The sequence below is a fragment of the Homo sapiens genome, chromosome 4 (genome assembly GCF_000001405.40).
Source record: "Homo sapiens chromosome 4, GRCh38.p14 Primary Assembly".
In the NCBI taxonomy this organism is placed as follows: Eukaryota; Metazoa; Chordata; class Mammalia; order Primates; family Hominidae; genus Homo; species Homo sapiens.
Genome location: NC_000004.12, coordinates 151886369 through 151910622, shown reverse-complemented (window position 1 = coordinate 151910622; position 24254 = coordinate 151886369). Strand labels below are relative to the sequence as shown.

The following is a 24254-nucleotide window of genomic DNA, read 5'->3' as shown; positions in this document are numbered from 1 at the left end:
GCTCTACCCCATGTGTTTAGCTTGAGCAAGCCCAGCTACATCATTTGCAGGACATAGTGCAATGAAAATGTAAGACTCCTTGTTCAAAAAGCAGGACAAAGCGCTAAAATTAAAAGCTTTTCACTTTCTTCTGCAGTCTTTCTCTCTCAACTTGTCATGGAGCTTTTTATTTGCTATTTAATGTTGTTCTAAGTAAAGAAAAATTAGAATTTAAAATTATTAGCCCGAATTTTACCATTCTACTTTATATTGTGCAATGCCAGCTTTAAATGCAAATTTAAGAGCATTTAACTCATATGCAGAAGGCCTGACATTGCACAATTTGTATTTCATAGCTTGTACGTGCATACGTATTTTGTCCTTTCCAGAAAAGGGGAGATGCTGTCTTTATTTCCCTTTGTGACATACACACATTCTACTGACATTCTCTACCTTTGACTTACTGATGAGTTAAGGAAGGACTGAAGACAAAAGAAACTATGGGCTGCTCTCTCTTTCCCTTTCTTTCTATGTCACCATTTTCACTTAAGTGGTTGGTCGATACAAGGAATTAACACTAATGCTATGTGCAAATGGGATAGGAAGAAATGGCAGCATGCATTATGCACACCTCTCCTCTGCTCAGGTGGGTGCACTACTTCACAAAAGACAAGTTTAAAGATAAAATGATTATGAATTTCAAGATGGTGACAGTAGAGCATTAAGCCAATCTGTCCCCTGGATGCAGCTTAGGAGGGGAAGCACCAAAGACCCATCCTACACATGGGCACAGCACAAGCCAGAGGAACAGCAGCTGGCTGCCCTTGGTTGTGATGGGCCCTACCTTAAAAGTGGCTTGGAGGGGACCAACAGGGCTTTCAGCATTCAGAAAGAGGCCCACACATAAGCAGGGACATTGACATCCCAGTTTGAATAGGCTGCCTGGAGGGGTGAGGGAAGGAGCATCCACCAGCAGCCTGTGACCCAACCACAAAGAGTCAGGGAATCATCTGTCTCTCTCTGAAGGCTTAAACTAGCCACAGACAGAGGTTGGAAGGGCTTGGGGATTGAATTTAACTGGAAGTCACTATATTGAACTGATTTACGCAAACATCACTGTTTGATACTATCCGCTTGGTGGGTCTTGGAATCAAATATTAAAATCAGTTGTACAAAGAAAGCTCTATTTCCACACACCTCCGTTTTGTGGATGGTTGTAATTTGTGAAATTTTCATCCTGTAAACATCAGTTGAGTGTTGCCAAGAACTATTTTAAACACTAGATACACATTTATCTTCAATTTAAGAAGACCCCTAGCACCCTGAAATTTTGCTTCAAAGCACTTCCCCATTTTGTCATAGTACATGTATTTGGATGCTTATTTTGACTAATGTCTGTCTTCCCAGCTAGACTGAGCTGCCTGAGGGCAGGGACCATATGAACCAGCCAGCCATCCCCAGCAGCTTGCTAAATGCTGCCATCGATGGTGGTGCCGGTGTGCAATTGTTTAGGCCATGTGGTACACAAGAACAATGTAGCTAAAGAGGTAGTCTTCTCACTGAAGACACTGTAGGTTTCAGTTTGTGTAATGACAGCTTTCTGGCAGGTGGAAGTAAAGTGTCTTACTCTAACATATTCAATGTAGTATGACAATTTCCCAGCAAATAGAAGTAAAATGTCTTGAGCAAGGGGTGCCTTTTCTAACTTTCACAAAGACACTATTTAGACTAGTGCAGCATTGACTGATTGTCTAATCAAAACATCTCACTTCACCTTTAGTGACTGGCAGCTCTGTCCGATTAAGTGTTGCCACTAAAAACAAAAAAGTTATATATATGTACACACACACATATATAATGTAATATATATGTGGTTTTGTAATATATACATTTATGAAGGAAATGTGATATATATACACACACATACATATAAATTCCTTCATAAATAAGAAAGTAACAGGCCACCCTGCAACAGCCATTTGGCTGCTTTCAAGTACTGAAGACTCAAAGGAGTATTTGATTTGCTTCAAGCTGAAATATAACTACATGAGCTCTCTGCTCTCTCTCTCTTCCTCTCTCCTCTAATAAATAAGGAAAAAAGAAAGTATTTTCTCACCAATTCTAACAACTGGCCTTACAGATGGGATTCATGCCCCACAATGAATAAATTCCAGGGTGACAACATGCAGATTAATTAGGCAGGAAATCATCTCCCTGCAGCAGCCCGCTCCTCATTCTCTAACAAGACTAAAAATGATTTGTGCCACCTGTTTATGGCTCCAGGCATTTGCCTTGGTCCTCCAATGACTCTATTAAAAACTTTTTGATTAACTTGGTCCAACGGTCAGCTTTTTGTTTGTTTGTTTCTTTGGAGTAAATAAATAGAGATTCTGCATCCTTGTGCCTAGAGAGCCATCTGGGCGAATCAGCAGCAAGTAGTTAAGCTTGAAATACCAGGAGTGTAAACATCACTCTCAGGTCTGACGTTACCTGCGAGACTCAAAATTTGTCTGATTCATAAAAACTCCATTGCACAGTTATGTAGAGTGAACTTTCTTTCCCATTTATTTTAAGGACATTTTAGCTGTCAGGAGTTAGGAAGAAGGTGGCTTTGTTTTTTACAAGGCTGCAATATTTTTCACTGTTAGATGTTGAGAGGTGATTGCATGTGTGTGTATATACAGACACATTCCCCAGTTTGGACCCGAGTCATAATAAATTTATGTGCTATTTACACATGGCTCTAAATCATTTCACTAAGAGAAGCACACAGCCTAGGAATTTAACTGTTCTTTCTGGTGCATAAATAACTACCTCTGTTTAAAAAAAAAAAAAGAAAAGAAAAGAAAAGAAAAAAGAAGGTAGGGAAAGGAAGTAGCAGCTTTCCCTGTCACCAGCAAATTAATGATGATAGCTTGTTCTTGTCTAGCACCGAGTGAAGTGTTCTCCCAAGTATGAGCTCATTTGATTGTCATAAAATCCCTGCGAAGTAGGAAGAACAGGAATTATTGGGCTGATTTTTTTTTTTAATAAATGGAGAAACTGATGCTTAGGAAAGAAACTGACCTTCTCAAGTTCATGCAGTTTGTGAGTGTTCCAAAAAAAAAAAAAAAAAAACTAGACTCTGGGGATTATGCTATCCAGTAGTCCAGCAGTCTTTCTAATCTACACTGCATCTGTGAGCCACTAAGGCTTACCATCCACTACAGGTTCATGCTCATGTGTTTTGGACATTTTGGTATAATACTTAATTTCCTAAGCCTTGGGCAGTTACTGAAAAGTTATACCCCATTGTGGATTTGGGCCTGGATAGGACTAAGCACCATCACAGATGGACACAAGCATACTTATTACTGGACTCATGGAAGACATCACCATTCAATCACCTTTCTCATTGGCTAATGGCTCGGATCAGATCAAAAAAGAAGTTAGATGAAGTTCTTGTGTCCTCAGAAAACACAAGCATGATTTGCTTCAGAACATACTGTTCTTTGATTCCTAGGGTGCCAAAAGAATAATCACTCGCTTTGCTTTAGCTTGCTTCTAACTCCTTCTGAAATTGGAATTCTCATTGAGGAACTCTAAAGACAGTGTTCTAAACAGCCTCTACTAATTGACCAGTGAATGAAACAAAAAAATATTTTACCCTAAAATATACTTTTTTTTTTTTTTATGACAGAGTCTTACTCTTGCTCTATCTCCCAGGCTGGAGTGTAATGGCATGATCTTGACTCACTGCAACCTCCGTCTCCTGGGTTCAAGCAATTCTTCTGCCTCAGCCTCCCAAGTAGCTGGGATTACAGGCGCCTGCCACCACGCCCTCCTAATTTTTGTATTTTTAGTAGATACGGAGTTTCATCCTGTTGGTCAGTCTGGTCTGGAACTCCTGACCTCAAGTGATCCACCCATCTCGGCCTCCCAAAGTTCTGGAATGAGCCACTGAGCCCAGCCAAATATACTTCTTTGGCATAATTTGATATGGCTATTCAGAGAGGCTGCAAGCACAAGAATAGCCTTGCAATTTCCTCCCTTTTCGGGGAAAAGGAGATTTGCATCTGTGGAGGAAATAAAGTGAAGTAACTAGGACATGCAAACAGACCTTTTCTGAGGCAACCCCTTGTCCAAAGCTAGGAAAGATTAAATTATGGGGAGAGAGAGAAAGAGAGAGAGACAGACTCAGAGTCTGACACCTTTGAAGGTCTGACAGAGAAACTGTTATTACAGGCTACTATCTATCTATTCTTTAAGGGTTGTTACCTATGAGGTTCATCAGCATAACAAGACCATCCTCACTAGCCAGGCTAGTGGTCTTATGCTAGCCTTTTTCTCTTCTCTCCCTCTTGTAACCTGTCTTGCCATGCTCCAAGTCCCTATTTTTTCCGTAATCTCAGGATGTTATAAAACTTCAATCATCAACCCCCCATCTTTAAGCCTCATATTTTTGTATGATTCTCATGCCCATATGCACGTCAATAAATGTGTATGCCTTTTTTCTTTCAACTATTATCAATTTGTTTTATAGACTCAAATTATCGAAACTTCAGAGGAAAAATTTAAACTTTCCTACACCAGAATCAGCTTGAGAGAAGAACCTAGTTGCCACCCCAGCCAGGTATTTTTGAGGAAACTGTTTTTGATTACATTGGTTACTATATATTCACTATGTTATTTCATTCCTAATCAAGTCATGACAAGTGCTAACCATTATCCCTCATCACTAGAACCAGGACACTAACACATGAAGCCTCTTAGGGCATAAAACTGGCCGAGCTCAGTGGTTCATACCTGTTATCCCAGCACTTTGGGAGGCCAAGGTAGGAAAATTGCTTGAGGCCAGGAGTTTGAGACCAGCCTTAGCAACACAGCAAGATCTCATCTCTACAAAAATAAAAATAAAAAATTAACCTGGTGTGGTGGTGCATGGGTGTAGTCCTAGCTACTTGGGAGGCTGAGATAGGACGATCACTTGAGCCCAAGAGGTCAAGGCTGCAGTGAACCATGACTGCACAACTGCACTCCAGAACAAAGCCCTCTCTCAAAAAAAAAATTTTTTTTAATTAAAAAATAAACCCTATCCAGACCTGCCACACCCTCTGCTGGGTGTGATTTGAAACCTATGCTGAGCCTGGATCATTGGTTTGCAAATGAATCTAAGACAGGTCATCCCCCAGTAAGCCTCCACTGCTATAGCTGGAACCATAAAATGATGAAAGTAGCATACACTCTTCACACTCTATGTAACCCAGTATCTTAACCTCGAAATGTATTTTGAAGTTTCATTTTCTCTCTTCTTAATCTTAAGAAAACCCTTCTTCCTCTTTCTATTCCAGACACTCCCTTGCACCATATTTGCTTGTCTAATGATGTACTTGCTTAGAAGTTCCAGGGGCTAATCTTGAAATAAACCAGGCATAGAGATCCAGTTGTGGAAGTCTCCCCCACCTAGAAATTGCCTCAAGGTGGTTAATCTTCAACCCAACCATTGTCAAAATGGCCCCAGTTCATTCTACAGGTGGACAACAACTCAAGATAGCCATTGGAGCAAGATATGCCGACCTCCACCCTGCACCACTCCCACATGCTTCCCATACCAAGTTTCCCTTCCCAACCCCCTTCGCTTAGCCTGAAAATTTGAGATGGTTCTTTGAGACCTAAGTCCAGCCATTCTTCTCAATGGCTAGCCTTTGAATAAAACTGCTTTCCTCCATTCCATCTTGCTTCTCTTGTTTTGGCTTCTGAGCGGCAAGCAGCCAGACCTCAGTTTGGTTAAACCTGGTCATTGTGTGTCAAGCTAAACTCTTTAATTTCTCTCATAGAACTATGGATTTGTTTTGAATATCTATTGTCTGTCTTCAAAAAAATAAGCTATAAATCTCTACAATCTCTATTAAAGGGAGGTTGGTGGACCTCTCCATGCCCAAAAGGGAAAGTGAGCATTCCCGGTGGCTTCTTCCCTGGCTTGCTTCATCAATAACTCCAGACCAGAATGCTCCCTCTGTAAAGAGAGTCTGAGACTTCTTTCTTGAACAGGGGAGTGAGCACTTTCTGCACTTCCTTCCCCAGCTTGCTCCAGTGGTGAAAATCCCAGCCCTGCTATCTCTCTGTAGAAAGAGGTTGGAAAACTATGCTGGCAAGAATGACAGCATTTCCTGTGCCATCTTCCCTGGCTTACTCTAAAGATAAAGTCTTGGAATCTGTCATTGGGAGGATGCTGGGGGATCTCTCCATTCCTGAAAGAGAAAGTGAGCACTCGCTGCACCTTTCTCTCTGGCTTGCTTCAGTGATAACTCCAGACCAGAAATCTCCCCTTGCTAGGAAGGTGTGAAACTTCTGCTTGCTCAAACAGGAGAGTGGGAACTCTCCACACCTTCTTCCCTGGCTTGCTCCAGAAATAAATTCAAATCTGCAGACTCCCTGGAAGTAGTTTCTGCATGCTCCAACTTTTACAGCTTTCACCTGAAGGACTAGCTCCTAAATCACCTCACTATGGGAGTTGACACACTCTGCACTCCTGAGTCTCCTAGACCACTGAGAACAAAAAGGTAACTTTTAAACTTGTAAATTTTCAGCAGTCATCTCAAAGTGAGTAGTCTGATCAAGAGTACAAGCATCTGCTCCAGACTCTTTCCTTGATGTAGAGCAGAATGAGTGCAGATAAACTCTAGCTCTCAGTTTCCCTGCAAATGAAGAAGGAACTAGAACATACATCTAACACCATCTGCATCCCAAAGTTCTGGCTTCTGTCCCACCTCTCCTAAGACAATAGCACAACTTGACACTTTAATTCCTTTTTCTTTCTTCTTCTTTTTTTTTTTTTTTTTTTTTTGAGACAGGGTCTCATGCTGTCACCCAAGCTGGAATGCTGTGGCATGATCATGATCATGGCCCACTGCAACCTCAACCTCCCAGGCTCAGTTGATCCTCCCGCCTCAGCCCCGCAAATAGCTAGGACTACAGGTGTGTGCCACCACGCCCACATGACACTTGAATTTCTTGGACCACTAAGAACAAAAATAGCAGGTTGGGGACATGCACAAACAGTTTAGAGGCACCTGGAATGTCTGGTCAGGCAAATTGGGCAGGAGCAGCTCCCAAAAGGGAGCAGTATAACAAGATTAGGGAAGGTAGTTTTTTAAATCTAATGTGCAGAGACCAACACAGAGAGTGAAGGAAAATGAAAAAACAGGAAAATGAAGAAAACATCTTCTGAATAAAAGAACAAGATAAATCTCCAGAAACTGACTCAATGGAATGAAGACAGGTGATTTACTTGACAGGGAATTCAAAAGGACAGTTGTAAAGATGTTCACCAAGGTAAGAACAATGCATGAAAAAACTGTCAACTTCAACAGAGAGATAGAATAAAGTTTAATAAAAAAAAAAAAAAAGGAAGAAGAAGCAGCAAACAAACCGAAATCATCAAGCTGAAGAATAACTGAATTCAAAAATTCAGTAGAAGGCTTTAACAATGACTAGATCAAGCAGAATAAAGAAATAGTGAACATAAAGATGGTTTATAGAAAATCATACAATATGAGGTGAAAAAAGAAAGAAAACAAGTGAAGACAACCTAAGGGACTATGGGACATCATCAGGTGGAATGATATGTGCATTATCAGAGTATCAAAAGATGAGGAGAAAGAGAAAGGGACAGAGGACATATTCAAAAAAATAATGGCAAAAACTTCCTACTTCTGAGGAAGGAAATAAAAACCTAAATCCAGTAAACTCAACATACACCTAATAGAATGAATCCAAAGAGACTCACACCAAGACACATAACAATAAAACTGTCAAACATTAAAGACAAAGAGAGAATATTGAAAGCTGCAAGAGAAAAGTGACAGTTACTGTCAGGCCTCTGAGCCCAAGCCGGCAGATATACATCTAGATACATCTGAAGTAACTGAAGAATCACAAAAGAAGAGAAAATGTCTGGTTTCTGCCTTAACTGATGACATTACCTTGTGAAATTCCTTCTCTTAGCTCAGAAGCTCCCCCACTGAGCACCTTGTGACCCCCGCCCCTGCCTGCCAGAGAACAACCCCCTTTGACTATAATTTTCCACTACCTACCCAAATCCTATAAAATGACCCCACCCCTATCTCCCTTCGCTGACTCCTTTTTTGGACTCAGCCTACTGGCACCCAAGTGAAATAAACAGCCTTGTTGCTCACACAAAGGCTGTTTGGTGGTCTCTTCACACGGACATGCGTGATGGTTACATTTAAGGGGACTCTAATAAGACTCTCTGAGAGTTTTCAGCAGAAATCCTGTGGGCCAGAAGGGAATGGGATGATATATTCAAAAAGCTGAAAGATAAAAAAAAATAAATAAACCTGCCAACCAAGAATACTATACTTGGAAATCCTACTCTTCAAAAATGAAAAGGAGATAATCACTTTCTCAGACTTAAAAAGGGGGGGAGTTGCTAAGTAGCAACATAAAAATATATAAAAATATAAAACTCATTGGTAAAAGTAAATATATGGTCAAACTCAGAACCTCATACTATAATGGTCATCTGAAAATCAATTATATCTCTAGGATGAAGGTTAAAAGACAACTATTAAAAACGACAATAGCTACAATAATTTGTTAAGGGACACAAATTATAAAACATACAAAATGTGTGACCAAACAAATTAGGAGGAAGTAGAAGAGTAAAATTTATGCAAGTGATCAAAGTTATTATCAGCTTAAAATAACCTGCTATTAGTATAAAATGTTTTATGTTAGTCTCATGGTAACCACAAAGCAAAAACCTTCAGTAGATACACAAAAGTTAAAAAGAATTTAAGGCATACCACTGCAGAAAATCATGAAACCACAAAGGAAGAGAAAAACAAAAGATCTACAAATTAACTGGAAAAAAATTAACAAAATGGCAAACATAAGCTCTTACATGTCAATAACTACTTTGAATGTAAGTGGATTATATTATCCAATCAAAAGATATTGAGTGGCTGAATGGATAAAAATATAAGGCCCAACTCTATGCTGCCCAGAAAAACTCATCTCACCTCTACGGATACAAATAGACTGAAAGTGAAGGGATAGAAAAAGATATTCCATGAAGAAACAGAGAGTAGAAAGGTGGTTACCAGAGGCTGGGGGAGAGGGGTAGAGATGGAGAAAGATGTAATCAAAGGGTATAAAGTCTTAGGCTGGAGTAACAAGCTTTAGTGATCTATTGCACTGCATGTTGAGCACAGTTAATAATAATGTATTACATATTTCAAAATTGCTAAAAGAATAGATTTTTAACATTCTCACCACAAAAAATAAGTTGGTGAGAAAATGGATATATTAATTGGCTTGATTGAATCTTTCTAATACAGTGTATATATCGATCAAAACATCGCATCATCACATTGTATCCCTTAAATATGAACAATTATTTTTTGTCAATTAAAAATAAAAAGTAAAAAATAAACTATAAGCTCCTTGAAGGCAGGGAGAACTTTGTTATTTCCTGCACAAGAATAGTGCTAGACATGTGGTAGATCCTTGATAAGTATTTGTTGATTAATTGACAAGAGGAGAAGAGGGAAGAATGCCTATTTGTGCCACGCATGCTGGGAAGTGGATTCATTTCTAGGCATGGGATTTTATAGGGAATCACTAAATCTGGGGCATTTGAGATAATAGTATATATGCCTGGGCTTTCAGAAATATTCTATCCATCTATTTTTTTTAATTTTTTTTATTCAGTCAGCAAATATTGTTGAAACACTTATAATGTGCCCAGACATATATGGTAAACACCTCTGACAGCAATGATTTGCGCATACCCTGAGAATGACCCCGTATGGCTGACACACCTGAATGTGTGTTTGGAGGGGATTCATTCCTTATCTATGAGGAACATCTGAGCCCCCAGCCCATCCTGTGGAACAAGGGCTGTACAGGGGATCAAGACTCTGAGTTTGGGGTTGGATGAAGATTGCCAGGTGGAGGCTGTTAGGGGAAGGGTGCTAAGTGAAAATGCTATATAAACTGCATGTTTTTTGCAAGTGGTTGTGGTTCTTCTGCCCAGCCTACTGCCACTGGGCCATGCAGTTCTCCTGCCCAACCTGCTGCCACTGGGCTGTGTAGTTTTTCTGTCCAGCCCACCACCACTGGACCAGCAGTTCTCCTGCCAGCCTGCCACCATTGGATTCTCTCCCCTGTATGTAAACCCCCAATAACCCCATGTCTCAGTTGCTGTCTCTGGGTCTCTTTGGCGTCTTGAACCTGGTGCCATCCTCATTGGAGTTGATAGGGATTTAGCACAATTGGTGAGCTATCCAGAAGGCTGGAGAAAATCCTGTGAGCACCAAGATGGTGGGATCAGGGAAGGGGAATCCACAGGGGAAATTCTGAGCTGACCGTCCATATCTATGTGGGACCTGAAAGCCACTATCCTTGATGGATGGGGTCCAACATGTGAGCACAGGGATGCCCCCAAAATGCTAAAGGATCTGGAAGAGTTGTTGAAGGAGATGGATCTGACTGAGCAAAGGGTCAGATGCCCAAGTGGTGGCAGCTGCAATTGGCTGGCTGCTCTACAGAGTAGCCACTGAAGCTGAGTTCACATTGTAGGCAAGTGTTTGTCAGTTACAGGATGAACTGCAATTAGAAAGAGATGCCAGGTTAGCTCAGGCTGAAACACTGGAGAGCTTACTGTCCTGCCTGCAGGCACAGGATGACAAGATGGAGACCCTGGATTGTCGGGTAGCCCATTTGAACGGTCACCAGCCGCCATATCAATGGGTCTGAGTTATCATGACTAAATCCTCCTGAGACCCTAAGTCCTGAGACCCTATGGAGAGCTCTAGTGGGGAGGAGAGTGAAGACTGGGATGAGCTTTTAGAGGTTCCCATCCCCTCTGTGCATCTGATGGTCACCACTAAGATAAAAGCCGACCCAGTGTGCCCATAGCTGGTAGCCCTGCAAGATTTGCCTCTGCCTGGAAGACCGCAGTGCACCACCATGTGGGACCACACAACTGTGGAATTGGTGGAGCTGGAAAATAGGTTCAGGCAGAAGGGGAGAGAGTTGACTGTGGAGTGGCTTCTCTGTCTCTGGGACATGGAGGCAGAGGGTGTTGTACTCTCCGTAAGTGAAATGGCATCCATTATAGACCACTGGGTCTCGAGGCAGCCCCTCTGTGGTGCTGGTAATGGGGATCAGGTTGTGCCCTTGGTTGGGTGATTGTAGGCTGCAAGGCAGCCTTGCCAAGTAAGGGAGATGCCCCACATCTCCTTTACAATGACAGACTGTGGAAGAATTGCAGGACATCCTCTAGGAATTAGGGATGAAGCATGCTGTCTATGCGGGGCATTACCAAGGTCCCAACAGTGAGCTTTTCAGTGCTGGTATGAAAGACACCATCTTATAGTTGGCACCAGCCAATGGTATGGCACACTAGTGTCTATCCTGAGCCCCTTGGTACGACAGCCAGTGTCTATTGTGGCTCAAGCAGACACTGACTTGGAGGAAATGGTGGGGGGGTACTACATGGGTGAAGGGTACACACTGCTGGAATATAAAGAAAGGAGACAGCCATGGGGCCCATCAGGGTGAGCCAATAACAAATGCGGCACAACCTCTTAGTGGCAGGGACACCTGCTGTGAAAACAGATAAACAGCCGAATGCTGTTCTGGTCAGACTGGGGCAGAAGCTCAAGTTGGAAGAGCTCCACTAAGGAGCCCCAGGTACATCCCACTGCCCCTCCCACAGAGAGATGGCAGGCACCAACCTCTTTAACTAGGATGCAGGCCAAAGCCCCAGGATCCCAATAAGAGCAACGACGACCAGGCTGTCCAGGGACCAGAGGCCACATGTAGAGCTATATTTTGGTCACCTAAAAATAACAGACTGTGCATGCCTCATGGATACAGTGAGCCAAATGCACTCTCATATATGGTGATATAGTTTGGATCTGTGTCCCCACCAAATCTCATGTTGAAATGTAATCCCCAATGTTGTAGGTGGGGCCTTGGGGGAGGTTATTGGATCATGGGAGTGGATTTCTCATGAATGGTTTAGCACCATCCTCTTGGTACTGTCCTTGCGATCATTGAGTTCTCATGGGTTCTCGTTGTTTAAAAGTGTGTGGCACCTGCCCCTCTCCTCTTGCTCCTGCTCTTGCCATGTGAGACATCTCACTCCCTGTTTGCCTTCCACCATGATTGGAAGTTTCCTGAGGCCTCCCCAGAAGCAGAAGCCTCTATGCTTCCTATACTGCTTGCAAAACCATGAGCCAGTTAAACCTCTTTTCCTTATAAATTACCCAGTCTCAGGTATTCCTTTATAGCAATGTGAGAATGGACTAATACATATGGTAACATTCATGTGTTCCAAGGGCCTGTGATAATAATAGATGGTTATGGGGCCGGAGGGCCATGAAAGTCAGACAAGTTGAACTAGTATTACCAGTTGAGAGACTGCCACCAAAACCCTATTTAGTATACATAGCTCCCATTCCAGAATACATCTTCGGAATGGATATCTTGTGAGCCCCCAAACAACTGCCAGGGAACTCCGACTGAGAGTTGGGGTGGTGAAGCATGTGATCAGGGGAACATGAAATAGACACCAGCACAGTTGCCAGCCCCATACAGTAGCCCTGTATGGCTTGTATGGAAGCCTGATGGACACGGAGAATGGCAGTGGATTACTGGAAACTAAATAAGGTGGTCCCCCAGAGTGTATGCAGCTGTTCCTCCTCTGAGTATCATCTCCCTACATATGAGGGTAGGAGAGGAACTTGGCATGTACCATTCTGTTATTGATTTAGCCAGTGCCTTCTTAAGCATTCCCATTGCCCCAGAATCAAAGCCAATTTGCATTCACCCGGGAAAGAGAATAATGGACCTTTACCATCAGCCCCAGGGATATTTAACTTCTGAGTCTTTTTCCAGTTTACAAACTACAGCCCACACTCTGCTGTCTCAATTGGGTTGGTAGTCCCAACCCAAGTATTTGGCTTGGCAGTCAAATACTTGGATGTCATCTTGTTGGGTAAGACTAAAGTCATTCCATCTGCCATTATGGATAGGGTGCAGGTCTACCCATGTTGTAGCACACCAAAGCAGCTGCAAACCTTCCTAGGCCTTCTATGGTATGGGTGTTCTTTTGTTCCCCATTTGGCCCAACGTCTTAGGCCCCCATACCACTTAGTCAAAAAGGGGGCCCACTGTGATGGGTCCACAAGGAAGGATGAGGCCTTGGAATAAGCTAAAGTTGCAGTGAAACACAGGATGCGGGGACTCTTGTGCAGGTACAGCCTTGTGAAATGGACATAGCTGGTTACCCTGAGGGTTTTATGTGGGGCCTGTGGCAAGGGCAAGGAAATGAATATGTGCCTTTAGGATTCTGGTCCCAATTATGGCAGGGGGCTGAAGGTGGATGATAGTGTCATGGAGCAGTGGCTCTGCACTGCATATTGTGCCTTGCAACAGATGGAGGACATTGCAGAGGGGGTCCCAGTGCTGGTGCATGCCCAGTATCCTGTGGCAAGTTGGCTACAGGATACCTTCCAGAGACTGAGGTCTGGGAATGCCCGGATGCAGACTGTGGCCACATGGCATGCATGCCTCCAACAGAGGAGCACATTGACGGGTAGCCCCTTGAGCACTGAGCTCCATTCAATGCTTGGCCCTGTCACCTGTCACCTGAACTGAAGCAGTCTTTGACAGAGTCTGCTGGACCTCCATGGATTCCCTCCTTCATACAGGAGGGACAGGGCCCCATTCCTAACATGGCTTTGCACTGGCCTGGTATTGGAGACAACCTACAACTGCCCTTGCCTCAGGACCTATCGTCTAGGGAGCATATCATTATGTGGCTCTGGAAATGACAAATTAGCCCACGATGGTTCACTTTTCCCACTCCTTGGGGGAAGGGCCTGGAACAGGATACACAAATCACACCTATTTTGCACCCTATTCCCTCTTGTACTTCTGGAATGGTGAGTCCTGGTCCTTCCTTGGGCAAGGGGATGATTACCCTCTTACTGTGAAACATTGGGTGCCATTGCTCCGGCCTTCCACCACATGTCACAGATGGGAGCCAATCCACTGATGTAAACCAGGCACCAGGCCATTGCCAAGGGCAGTGCTCTCTCAATGCCACGACTTCCTGTGTCTTGTTAAATGGTCATGACTTGCCCTTTTTTGTACCCACTAAACATCTCATCTTCTGCCCATAGATGATGTGCAGCAAACCTCTTCACCAACTGGACACAGATGGTGGCCTCTCTCCAGAACAAAACAGACTGTTGGGTCTGTGGAGAGCTGACCCCTCTCCTCCACAGTGGGACTGCTATGGGCATCCAGGTTCAATTCCCAGCACACGGAAGGACTTTTTGTTTCTGTAGTTTGTATTGCAGCATGGCATCTGGCTGCAATGTTCCTCTGCATGCCTGGTCCCAGGGAAATTGCAGAAAAATAGATGATAAGAACATGAGGGCCACTCAAGGGCATTTTGGGGTGGAGCATACAATAAATTCACCTGGCAACAGTGACTCGAGCATACCCTGAGAGTGACCCTGTATGGCAGACGCACCTGAATGTGTGTTCAGAGAATAATTCCTTATCTATGAAAAACATCTGAGCCCCCAGCCCAGCCTGTGAAACACTGGCCTTACAGGGCATTCAGGCCCTGAGTTTGGGGTTAAATGAAAATTGCCAGGTGGAGGTTTTTAGGGGGAGGGTACAAAGTGGAAATACTGTATAAACTGCATGCTTTTTGCAAGTGGATGTGGTTCTTCTGCACAGATCTCCACCGCTGCACTCTCCCCTGTATGTAAGCCCCCAGTAAAACCACACGTCTCGTTTGCTGGCTCTGGGTCCCTTCTTTGGCTTCTTAAACCTGGTGCCATCCCCACTGAGGTTTATAGGGATTTAGCACAACAAGGCCTGGACTTTTCAGGGTGACCTCAGCCCATCTAGCATAGATGCAAATGCCACCATAACATGAGAATGGACTCAGCCTCCCCAGGCTGATGTCTTGAATCAGGGGAAAAAGCTGAAGTCTTCGTGTCTTCATAAACAACAAGTGTGGACTGGCCTCAAATCATACTACCTTTTGGGTGAATATCTAGAGTGTCAAAAGAAGAATCACTTGCTTTGCTTCGTTTTGTTTGTCCTTCCTTCTGAGATGCCTCTACTCTCACAACTGTTATTTAAGCTCAGAAATAGAAAGAATCTTTCTTAAGTTCCTCTCTTCTTTCCCACCTCGATTCCTAACTGGTAAGTTTCATGAGGTCTCTGCTTACCCCTACACACAAGGAGCCACTGCTCTGAAAGGGCCCAGGGCTGTCCTGCCTAAGTCTCTCTTCTCTTCCATATCCTCATTTATCCTTTGATGCTAATGGAGCAATCAGGATTGGAGAAATATTTTATATAAGGGTATCTAGTGTAGCATTCACTTATACCAGCAAAACCCAGAAATAACATAAACATTTATCATTGGAAGAGTAGGTAATTAATTATGGTACTTCAATAACATGAAACATTAAGTAAATTTTAAATAAACGTATATAATGGCACAGAGAAATGTTCCTAATCTAATGTTATGTGGGGAAAATAATCAGATACAAACTGATGAACCAGTTATATAACTATATGTATAAATGTGTATACATGGAGAAACGACTAGAAAAAAATAAGGGTAATAATAGTTAACTTTCTTTTCTTTGTTTTTTTTTTTGAGACAGAGTCTCACTCTGTCCCCCAGGCTGGAGTGCAGTGGCACGATCTTGGCTCACGGCAACCTCTGCCGCCGAGGTTCAAGCAATTCTCCTGCCTCAGCCTCCCAAGTAGCTGGGATTACAGGCGCCTGCCACTGCACCAGGCTCATTTTTGTAGTTTTAGTAGAGACACGGTTTCACCATCTTGGCCAGGCTGGTCTTGCACTCCTGACCTCGTGATCCACCCGCCTCAGCCTCCCAAAGCGCTGGGATTACAGGCGTGAGCCATTGCGCCTGGCCCAGTTAACTTTCAGTAGTCAGACTTTGTGGGGGTTGGTTTCTTGTTCACACTTTTTGTAGTTTTCCAAATTTTCTACATGAAACATAGTATTTTATAATTATACAAAAAGCAGCACACATTGAGAAGTTGTGTGTATATCAGTCATGGTTTGTGATAAGAAAATAAACATCTCAATAGGTCAGTGGTTCTCAGACTCTAGTTTACATCGGAATTGCCCGGAGGGCTTGTTAACCTGGATTGCTTGGCACTGTCCCTAGGGCTTTTGATTCAGTAGGTCTGGTATGGGGCCCAAGAATGTGCATTTCTAACAGGTTCTCGGATGATGATGATGATGATGATGATGATGATAATGCTGGTCCAGGGCCAGTCTTTGAGAACCACTACTCTAAGTATTTTATGCAAAAAGGTTGACTTTTAAGCAATGCAGGAAGAAGATAAAATGTGAGCAAAATTATTGGCTGTGCTACAGGAAGGTAATTTAGAGGAGGTGCCACTAGTTTTCAGATTACACCACTGTACCTGAAACTTGTAACCTGTAACCTCATGATCCAGAGATTATAAAGTTGGGACATACTAATATCCCAGGGTCAGAAAACTGCAGGAAACTTCTGCTGGCTTTGTAGCTGCCTCTTGGCCCTGAAGTTGTGACTGACAGTAGAATGCGAAGTCTGCTACAAAAACTCATATCCAGCACAGCTGATATTTCTGCCATACCTCTTTCTGCCAGAGGAAGAAGACCCTATTCTCTGCCTTCCTGGAATCAAGGAAGCCTGAGAAATATGAACTCCAGGTTTCCAGCCCCTGAGATATGAAGAAGGGTATATGTGCAATTGCAAATGAATGCTGATTGACAAGAAACAATATCTAGCAGAGAGGAAGACAGAAACAGAGAGAGAAAGGGAAGAGAATGGAAAGGAAAGGAAAGAGAAGAAAAAGAAGGGAAAGAAAGAGAAGAGAGCTAAGGGGGGAACAGGAGAGAGAGAGAGGAAAGAAGTGCATATCACATATGGGTGCAGAATTCCGTGAAATCACCAGTTTCAATGGGAACTGACAGGGTTTAGGGTTGGTGTGGGGAACAAGCCAGTGGTTGCATCAGGCTAACAGCACCACAGAATTCATTCAGTTCTACAGGCAAAAAGGTGCACTGGAATCTGATCCAAAATATGTTAACAGAGAGGTCAACATTAGCTTGGACCAGGACAAGACAAACATTCTCGCCTGAAATTTGTGATTGGAGTAACGAAGTTTTGTGATTCCTCCTGTTAATTTCCATCCTAGGCCTAAAGCGATACAGTTTAGGTAGGGAGATAAAAAACGCTCTTACAACTATAAAACACTACATAAATGTAGAGAACCATCATCTTTCTTTTTTACTTTAAGGTGGCCATCTAAGAACAGCTACTGAATTATCTGAAAAGCAGGGACAGGACTTCTTCCTAAAAGCCTCTGAGAAGCTGAAAAAGGCAAAGGAAGGCAGGAAGGTCTTGGATTCCCTTGGCCTCCTCCTCATCCCTTGCAGTTGTCTCCGTGGAGAGTCTTGCTTTGCTGCACAGCCACCCATAGGAAGAGCTGTGCCACACCACAGGCTGATTGGAATTGCTCTGTAACTCTACACTGATGGGCAGTAAACCCTGTTTCTCTTTTTTCTTCAGAGCAGCCCATTGAAGTAATGGGTCCTCAAACGGATGAGCAGGAAGCTTCCGGTCAGGATTCTCAGGGCAGCTTAGGGCTGGGGAACCACGTTCTGACAAGCATCGAGGTATGGGAATGCCTGGGAAATTAGGTGAGATATGAAGAACAAAAGAACAAGAGGAAGCCTGGAGTGTTCTCAAAGAAAGCAGGACAGGAAGTTCTCAAAGCCAAACGATGGAGCAGGTGGAATGTTCCCTTACATGATTGAGCAAGGAGACAGATTCAGGCTTGGGGAGGATGGCAGTGGGATTCTCAGGTGCATTCCCCTAGGTGTTTCTCCATGCTGCCCACCTTCTGCTCTCTCCAGCATCGGTGATTCAGGCTAACTCCCACTTTTGAAGCCAGAGGTCTGCTGAAGCTAACGAGGCAATGGTAATGACTGAAGAGGACTGTGATGAGCAGGGCCAATTGCCCAGGGCTCAGGGCAGTCTGCAGCCTCTCCTGTGGCAGTCCCCACCCATTTGGCATCATGGAAACACCAGCACCTTACAGCCTTTCTCTGGGCAAGGCAGCACCTCAACCTGCCAGAGACTCCCCAGAAAGCTACCCTTCTCTCTTTCACACCTTGCTTTGCTGTTGTCATTTGCTTTACTTTGCTTTGTTTACTGAATGGCCCTTGCTGGTCTCCAGCAGCAAAGCAAGGCCGTTCTCCTCCACTCCCCCTGCTCCTTCCACCCCTCACCCCCAGGCAAACAAGGACCACGTCTGCATGTCTGCCCTCTGCCAAGGTCAAGGATGCTGATGAGACCTTAGGATCAGCCCTGTCTTATCTCCCCTGCTTTCCCTAGCTGAGCAGGGAGGTCAGACCTCACACTGCTGAGGAGGCCCAGGTTGGGTGGCACATTCTTTTTTTTCTCTGACTCTTGTCCATGGCTTATGGACTCTGGATTGCCTTTCCTCAAAAGAGAGTGGTAACAAGTGCAACTTGGGTATAAACTTTGGGAAGGAAAAGCAAAAGCAAACTTTTCAGACCTCTATGGGTCCGACCACCACATTCCTCATGACCCTTCTCCTCTGGACTTAGGGGCCACAGCCCCAGGGAATACTGGACTGCTCTCCTGCTTTGCTGAGCCCCTTGGGATGTCTCAGGTGCACATGGCAACTGAGCATCAACTTGAGAGCTGTCTTCCGGCCATGGGGCTTTACATGAAAGCATCCATTGCCACTGAACTTGCAATTCTGACCACTCACTCAAGGCAACAAGTGACTTTTGATGTCATCCTGAAGAAATGTGCCCTTTCCTGCCAGCCCTTGAAGCAGTCAATCTCCCATCCTGCGTATTGTTTTTGTGGCCAAAAACTGCATTGCTTATCACACATGATTGATCGGATAAAAATTATGAGCAAAACATTCTGCTAGCTTTTCCTTGTCCTGTCATCTGGTAGAAAGAGATTTTTCCTGAAGCAAGTCAGTACCTTTTCTTTCCAGAAGTGGTGAGGTTGCTGCCTTCCTCACCCGGACACCTGGAGGGTTTTCCAGGGCTGGTGTTTTTAGACAACAGCATTCACAGCATGTCTTACAGATTTTGAAAAGGCTACAGGGTAGTATACCATCTATCTAGACATTTAAAAGGCATTTAAAAACGCCAAATGTCTGTTCTCTGGCTGGTCAGGTGAGCTTCTTTCTATGCTTCATTTCCAGAGGGTTCCTGTGGAAGCCACCAGCACATTGAGAGAAGGGAAAATGTGGTTATTCTGCATCCATTTTACTGCAAGGAGATCGGGGCTGACGTGGCTGGCCAATTCACAACCTGTCTCTAATGTATTCCCATTTGAGAAACTGATCATGGACAGCTAAGTGAAATGTGATTGCAATATATGATATGCTCCCAGGAAAAACCGAGAGTAGATGAGAGAGGTTCAAGCAGCAAACAGCTCCAGGGGAAGCCCGAGAGTGGGAAAGAACTTTTCTGCTGAACGAGGCTCTTACATCTCATTTGCAGTGGGTTAAGCTGTTTCCAGGATGCCATTTTCTGTCTCTGATAATGTGTGTGTTTTGTTATATTAGCCCAACATTTGGCAAATGGTTTCCAAGTCCAAACATTTGGTATTATTTTATGCTAGGTGAACGTGGCGCTCTAGGCAGGCTCAGGCTTGATTCAGAAATCTGGCTATGAGTGTGCAATAATTTGTCTGGATTGTTTTATTTCACAGCCAGGCTGTCCTTGAAATGCTTAATGCATAAAGAGGGAGAGCTGCTATTTGTTTTAGTAGCCCACAGTCGAGGAAAGAAAGTGGGATTGAAAAAAGGCACATGTCTTTCTTGCCAAAGACCTGGATGGCCTAGCTTGGTTTCTCCCAGGTTGCCCCCAGTTTTGGCCTGATAACCTCAGTCATATAAAAGTTGATAGGCATTGACTAATACCGAGAGATACAAAGTAGCTATAGAGTATAACTAAGGAAAGGTTGTTATTATAACTAAGTCCAGTTACTATGTATAACTAGACTATACATAATAGACTAGTTAGAGAACTGAAGCATGTAAATAGGGTGCCATGAGGAATAGTACCAATATTTTAATCAAGCATGTAATTAATCAGCAACTATTGATTGCATCAATCCATTATTTTTTCAAAAATGTGAATTGAGTGTCTTCAGCACCATGCCAGGTGCTGGGAATACATCAGTGAATTAGACACTAGCCTGTCCTCAAGGAGGTCACAGTCCAATTGGAGAATCTTAGAAGTAAATCAACAATCACAGTACACAAAGACAAGGGCCAAGATGGAAAGTCCAGGCAGCTGGAGGAGTATGAAGAAGGGTTCCTAACTCAGTTGTGGGGGAGAAGAATGACAGAGTCAGAGAATACTTCCCAGGCCAGACAATATCTACTGAGTACTGAAGGGCAGACGATAACCAGATGGTAGCTAAGCACCAGGTATCAATTAGGTTCACGACCTACTCTGGTGCAAAGAACTAACTGGAAGCAGAAGATGAACACAGGATGTGTGGTTTAGTGCTGTTGGGATTCAGAATTGAGCAAGAGTCAGAATTTCCAGAGGATTTGATGTGGGTCCAAGAAGATTGAAAAGGTTCATCCAGGTAGGCAGAAGAGAAGAAGGCCCTCTATGAAGGAAACAAATTTACAGGAATGAGAAATGGGATGCTTAGAGGTCAATAAATGTTCATTGAAGAGTACATGGTTCTGTAGGAAAAACAAAGTCATCTATGACACGCTTCTACCCCCAAGAGCAAGAGTCAATAAACTTTTCCATAACGTGTCAGATAGTAAACATTTTAGCTTTATGGATCATACAGAATTAGTCCACAGGCTATGGTTTGCCAACCTCTGCTCTACAGGCTCACACTCTTATTGGGAACACAAAATAGAGATACAAAAAATGTCTAAAGCCAAATGATCTTGCCCGGAGTCTTGGAAGATTAGTCTAGTAACAAGGCCTGGGTCAGGTTGTGGAGAGCTTTGTACGTCAAACTCAGTGTTTGGAAGTCAGCTGGTAAGCAGTGAGGCACCATTGATGGCTTTCAGCAAAGGACTGTTTTTTGGAAGATCAATTTTGCAACAAGATGCAGAATGGATGAAAGCATAGAGAGCCTGGAGGCAGGGAAACTTGTAAGAACTCTGAAGTGGTACTCAAAGCATCAAGTGAGAACTCAGATTCTGCAGGTAGTCGGGGAATGGAATGGGAAGTACAGGGTGAGAGATATGTCATAGTTTGATGACCGGATATGAGGTCTGAAGGAAGGAAGGAAACAAAGATTCTTTGGGTGGCTAAATGGTGGTGCTGAATGAACAGATACAAACATTTGGGAAAGGAACATTGTATGAAGGGACAATTCATTTATCTCAATGTATGTTACTTTAGAATTGATAGTGGTACACCCACATGAAACTGTTCATCTAAAATACTAGGAGAGCTCATCAGTGTGGCCAGTACTGCAAACTAGAATTGTGGGCCATGCATGAAAAATCAATAGCAACAAAAGTAAGAAGGTTAGTAACAATGGACACTCATGGACAGCCGTTATCCTGCCAGGTATCGATTTAGACATATTACAATGGATTATCTCCTTTAGTCACCCCTACAGTACTCTGAGGCATATATTATTATCCTTATCTTACAGATATGGAGATTGAGCCTTAGAGAGGTAAAGTGATTTGCCCAAAGTCACACAGTTAATAAGGTGTCACACCACAACTAGAAGTCATGTGTGTCTGCCTTGGAAGGCTGAGCTCACAACATCAAACCTCAGCCTCTTGGTTCAGGGGATTTCCTTCCTGCGTGCAGTTTTCTTTCCTCTCCACTAGCCTGTTGAACTCAGAGCCTGTGTTCACTCTTGGTTTCCCAATGCATATGGAAAAATACCCTCTTTCTTCACTAAATTAACCAAAACCCCCCATGGTGCTACTCACACACCTACTCATCCTTTGCAGGTCTGACTTCTCTCCTGGAGGCTCCCTCACTCTCTTCTGCCAGAAATGAGACCCGGGGAAAAACAGCGGTATCATCTATATCCCTGCTGTACGTGAGGTCACTGAATTCCCCTGATCAGTCCCTCTCTCACAGCTTAGCATCTAGACTTCACGGTCATGGCCTCTTCCCCTCACCTTGTCTGGCAGCAGGGCCGGTTCACACCTTGCATGTGTTCCTTCATGTTTTAGCTCCCAGAGGTAGATGGCAAAATAACCACAACCCTTCTTCTTCCTGCAACCATGCCCTTGAAACATGACCCTGAAGCCCCTTTCATCAAGAGGTAGAGTCTGTTTCCCTTCACTTTGGGTCCAGGCTCGCCTTGTGACCTGCTTTGACCATTAAAATATGATGGAGTCATATTTTGCCCATTCCAAGCCTAGGCTTTAAGATTTCTTACACACATTCACTCTCTTTCGAGACCCCTATGTCTGCCTGGGCTAGCCTGCTGTGGGAAAAGAAGCTATTCGGAGCAGAGAGGCATAGCTCATTGTCCCAGCCAAAGCCTGAGACATGAGAGAGCCCAGCCAAGATGAACACAACCACCCATCCACCCAACACACCAACACCACTGACTGTGGGTGCCTGACAGAGCAAGCTGTGCCCAGACTAAATTGATGACTTACAGAATCTTGAGCTAAACAAATGGTTGTTCATCTTTTTTAAACTACTAAGTTTAGAGATTTCATAGCGGTATCTAATACACTACCCTTTTCTCACTAAGATATCAACAATATCTACATTTGAGTAGCAATCAGCTAACTGCATTTTATTCTAGAACTTCCTGTACTGCACATATTGGAGGACTCAGTCACCGACTTGCCTGTGGTTGCTATGAGTCGCCTACAGAACTGAAAATGGGAAGCAGAACTAGGCTGGTTGTACTCCTAACCACAAGGACACTCTCCTCCTCAAATGAAAAGGCTCTAATTAAAAGGCAGGAAAGATCAGGTATCTCTGGAGTTCACTTTTAAAATTGTCAAAAAAAACCTCAAAGTCGCTTTGCTTCTGACTATCCATACATTGGAAGACTAATTAACTATGACAAGCTGACCAGTGGAGACCATTTTCATAAGGATGACACGATGATGGATGGGTGCATGCTGTTACAATGTCATTGCTAAAAAAGACGTGATGAGTCCAAGTTCCAATTACTAAGATTCATATACAATACAGAGGTCTTTTTCAAGCCACAGAACCCCATTGCAACAGGCTGACGTGTCGTCTTTTCTGTATTTAAGAGACACATTCATGGGCCGGTGACATACTGAGCTATGCATGCTAGGCCTTCTCTGCATCTGGCAGCTGGAACGAGACACAACTAAGTCTTGTTGCTTCAGGGCTTTGGGTACCAAATGAGGCATTAGCACAATAGAAACACCCAACCCAGAGCAATGTTTTCCCATCTTCAGACTTGGAGGCCAAGAGGCAATAGCAAGGACATTATGTAGATATTTATACAACCATTTAAAACATAACCACTCAAAAATGTCAAAACCATTCTTAGCTTACTGGCTGTAAAAAGTAGGCAGCTGGCTGGATTGGGCCCACGGGCTATAGTTTGCCAACCCTTGCCTTAAATAAACAAACTTGTTAGATTTCTCACTAGTGTTATATTTCTGCAGCTAAAGTTCTCTTAGTTACAGAAAATTTCTCTTAGGTACAGAAAATCTGGTCACAAGAAGTTTGAAAAATAAATTAACATAAAATTATATACAGTCACATATTACTAAGATATGTAACGTATTATATTAGTATATGTTATTATAATATACAATTTTATATTATAATAACATATGATATATATTAATATATTACTTGTATTAAATTAATATATGGATATAATAATATATTAATATATAAATATGCTAATATATTTTATATCAATATAAAATATACTATAGTAATCAATTATATACAGTAATATATTAATTATTATTTGTTTCAGCTAAAGTCACAAACTGTTTTCTTTCCTTCACACAAAAGCTAAAGCTCCCTTATATGGTTCCGGATGTTTCCACTAACTCACGGCTTACCTAAATCTCTCAGTTTTGTAAAACAAAAAATACTCCCTTGTTTTACAAAACGGGGAGATTTGTCTAAAAAAAGCAGCAAACAAACACTGATTTCATTATTGGAGGTGGATGGAAGGAAGAATTTTGCAGTCTCCTAT

The 24254-nt window shown here is 43.1% G+C and overlaps 2 long non-coding RNA genes across 3 annotated transcripts in view; one reads left to right on the top strand and one right to left on the bottom strand.

Moving 5' to 3' along the window:
* Positions 1-24254, bottom strand: part of LOC127898557 (uncharacterized) — a 140693-nt gene that overhangs the window by 29429 nt on the left and 87010 nt on the right. The gene's annotated exons all lie outside the window — the stretch shown is intronic.
* Positions 453-23677, top strand: LOC102724700 (uncharacterized). 2 transcript variants are annotated; one of them, NR_188364.1, is made up of 5 exons: positions 453-625; positions 4502-4591; positions 19294-19456; positions 22045-22132; positions 22860-23677. It is a non-coding gene; the product is annotated as an uncharacterized LOC102724700 (long non-coding RNA). The 2 variants fall into 2 exon arrangements; NR_188363.1 differs by lacking the exons at positions 19294-19456; positions 22045-22132; positions 22860-23677 and adding an exon at positions 5310-5689.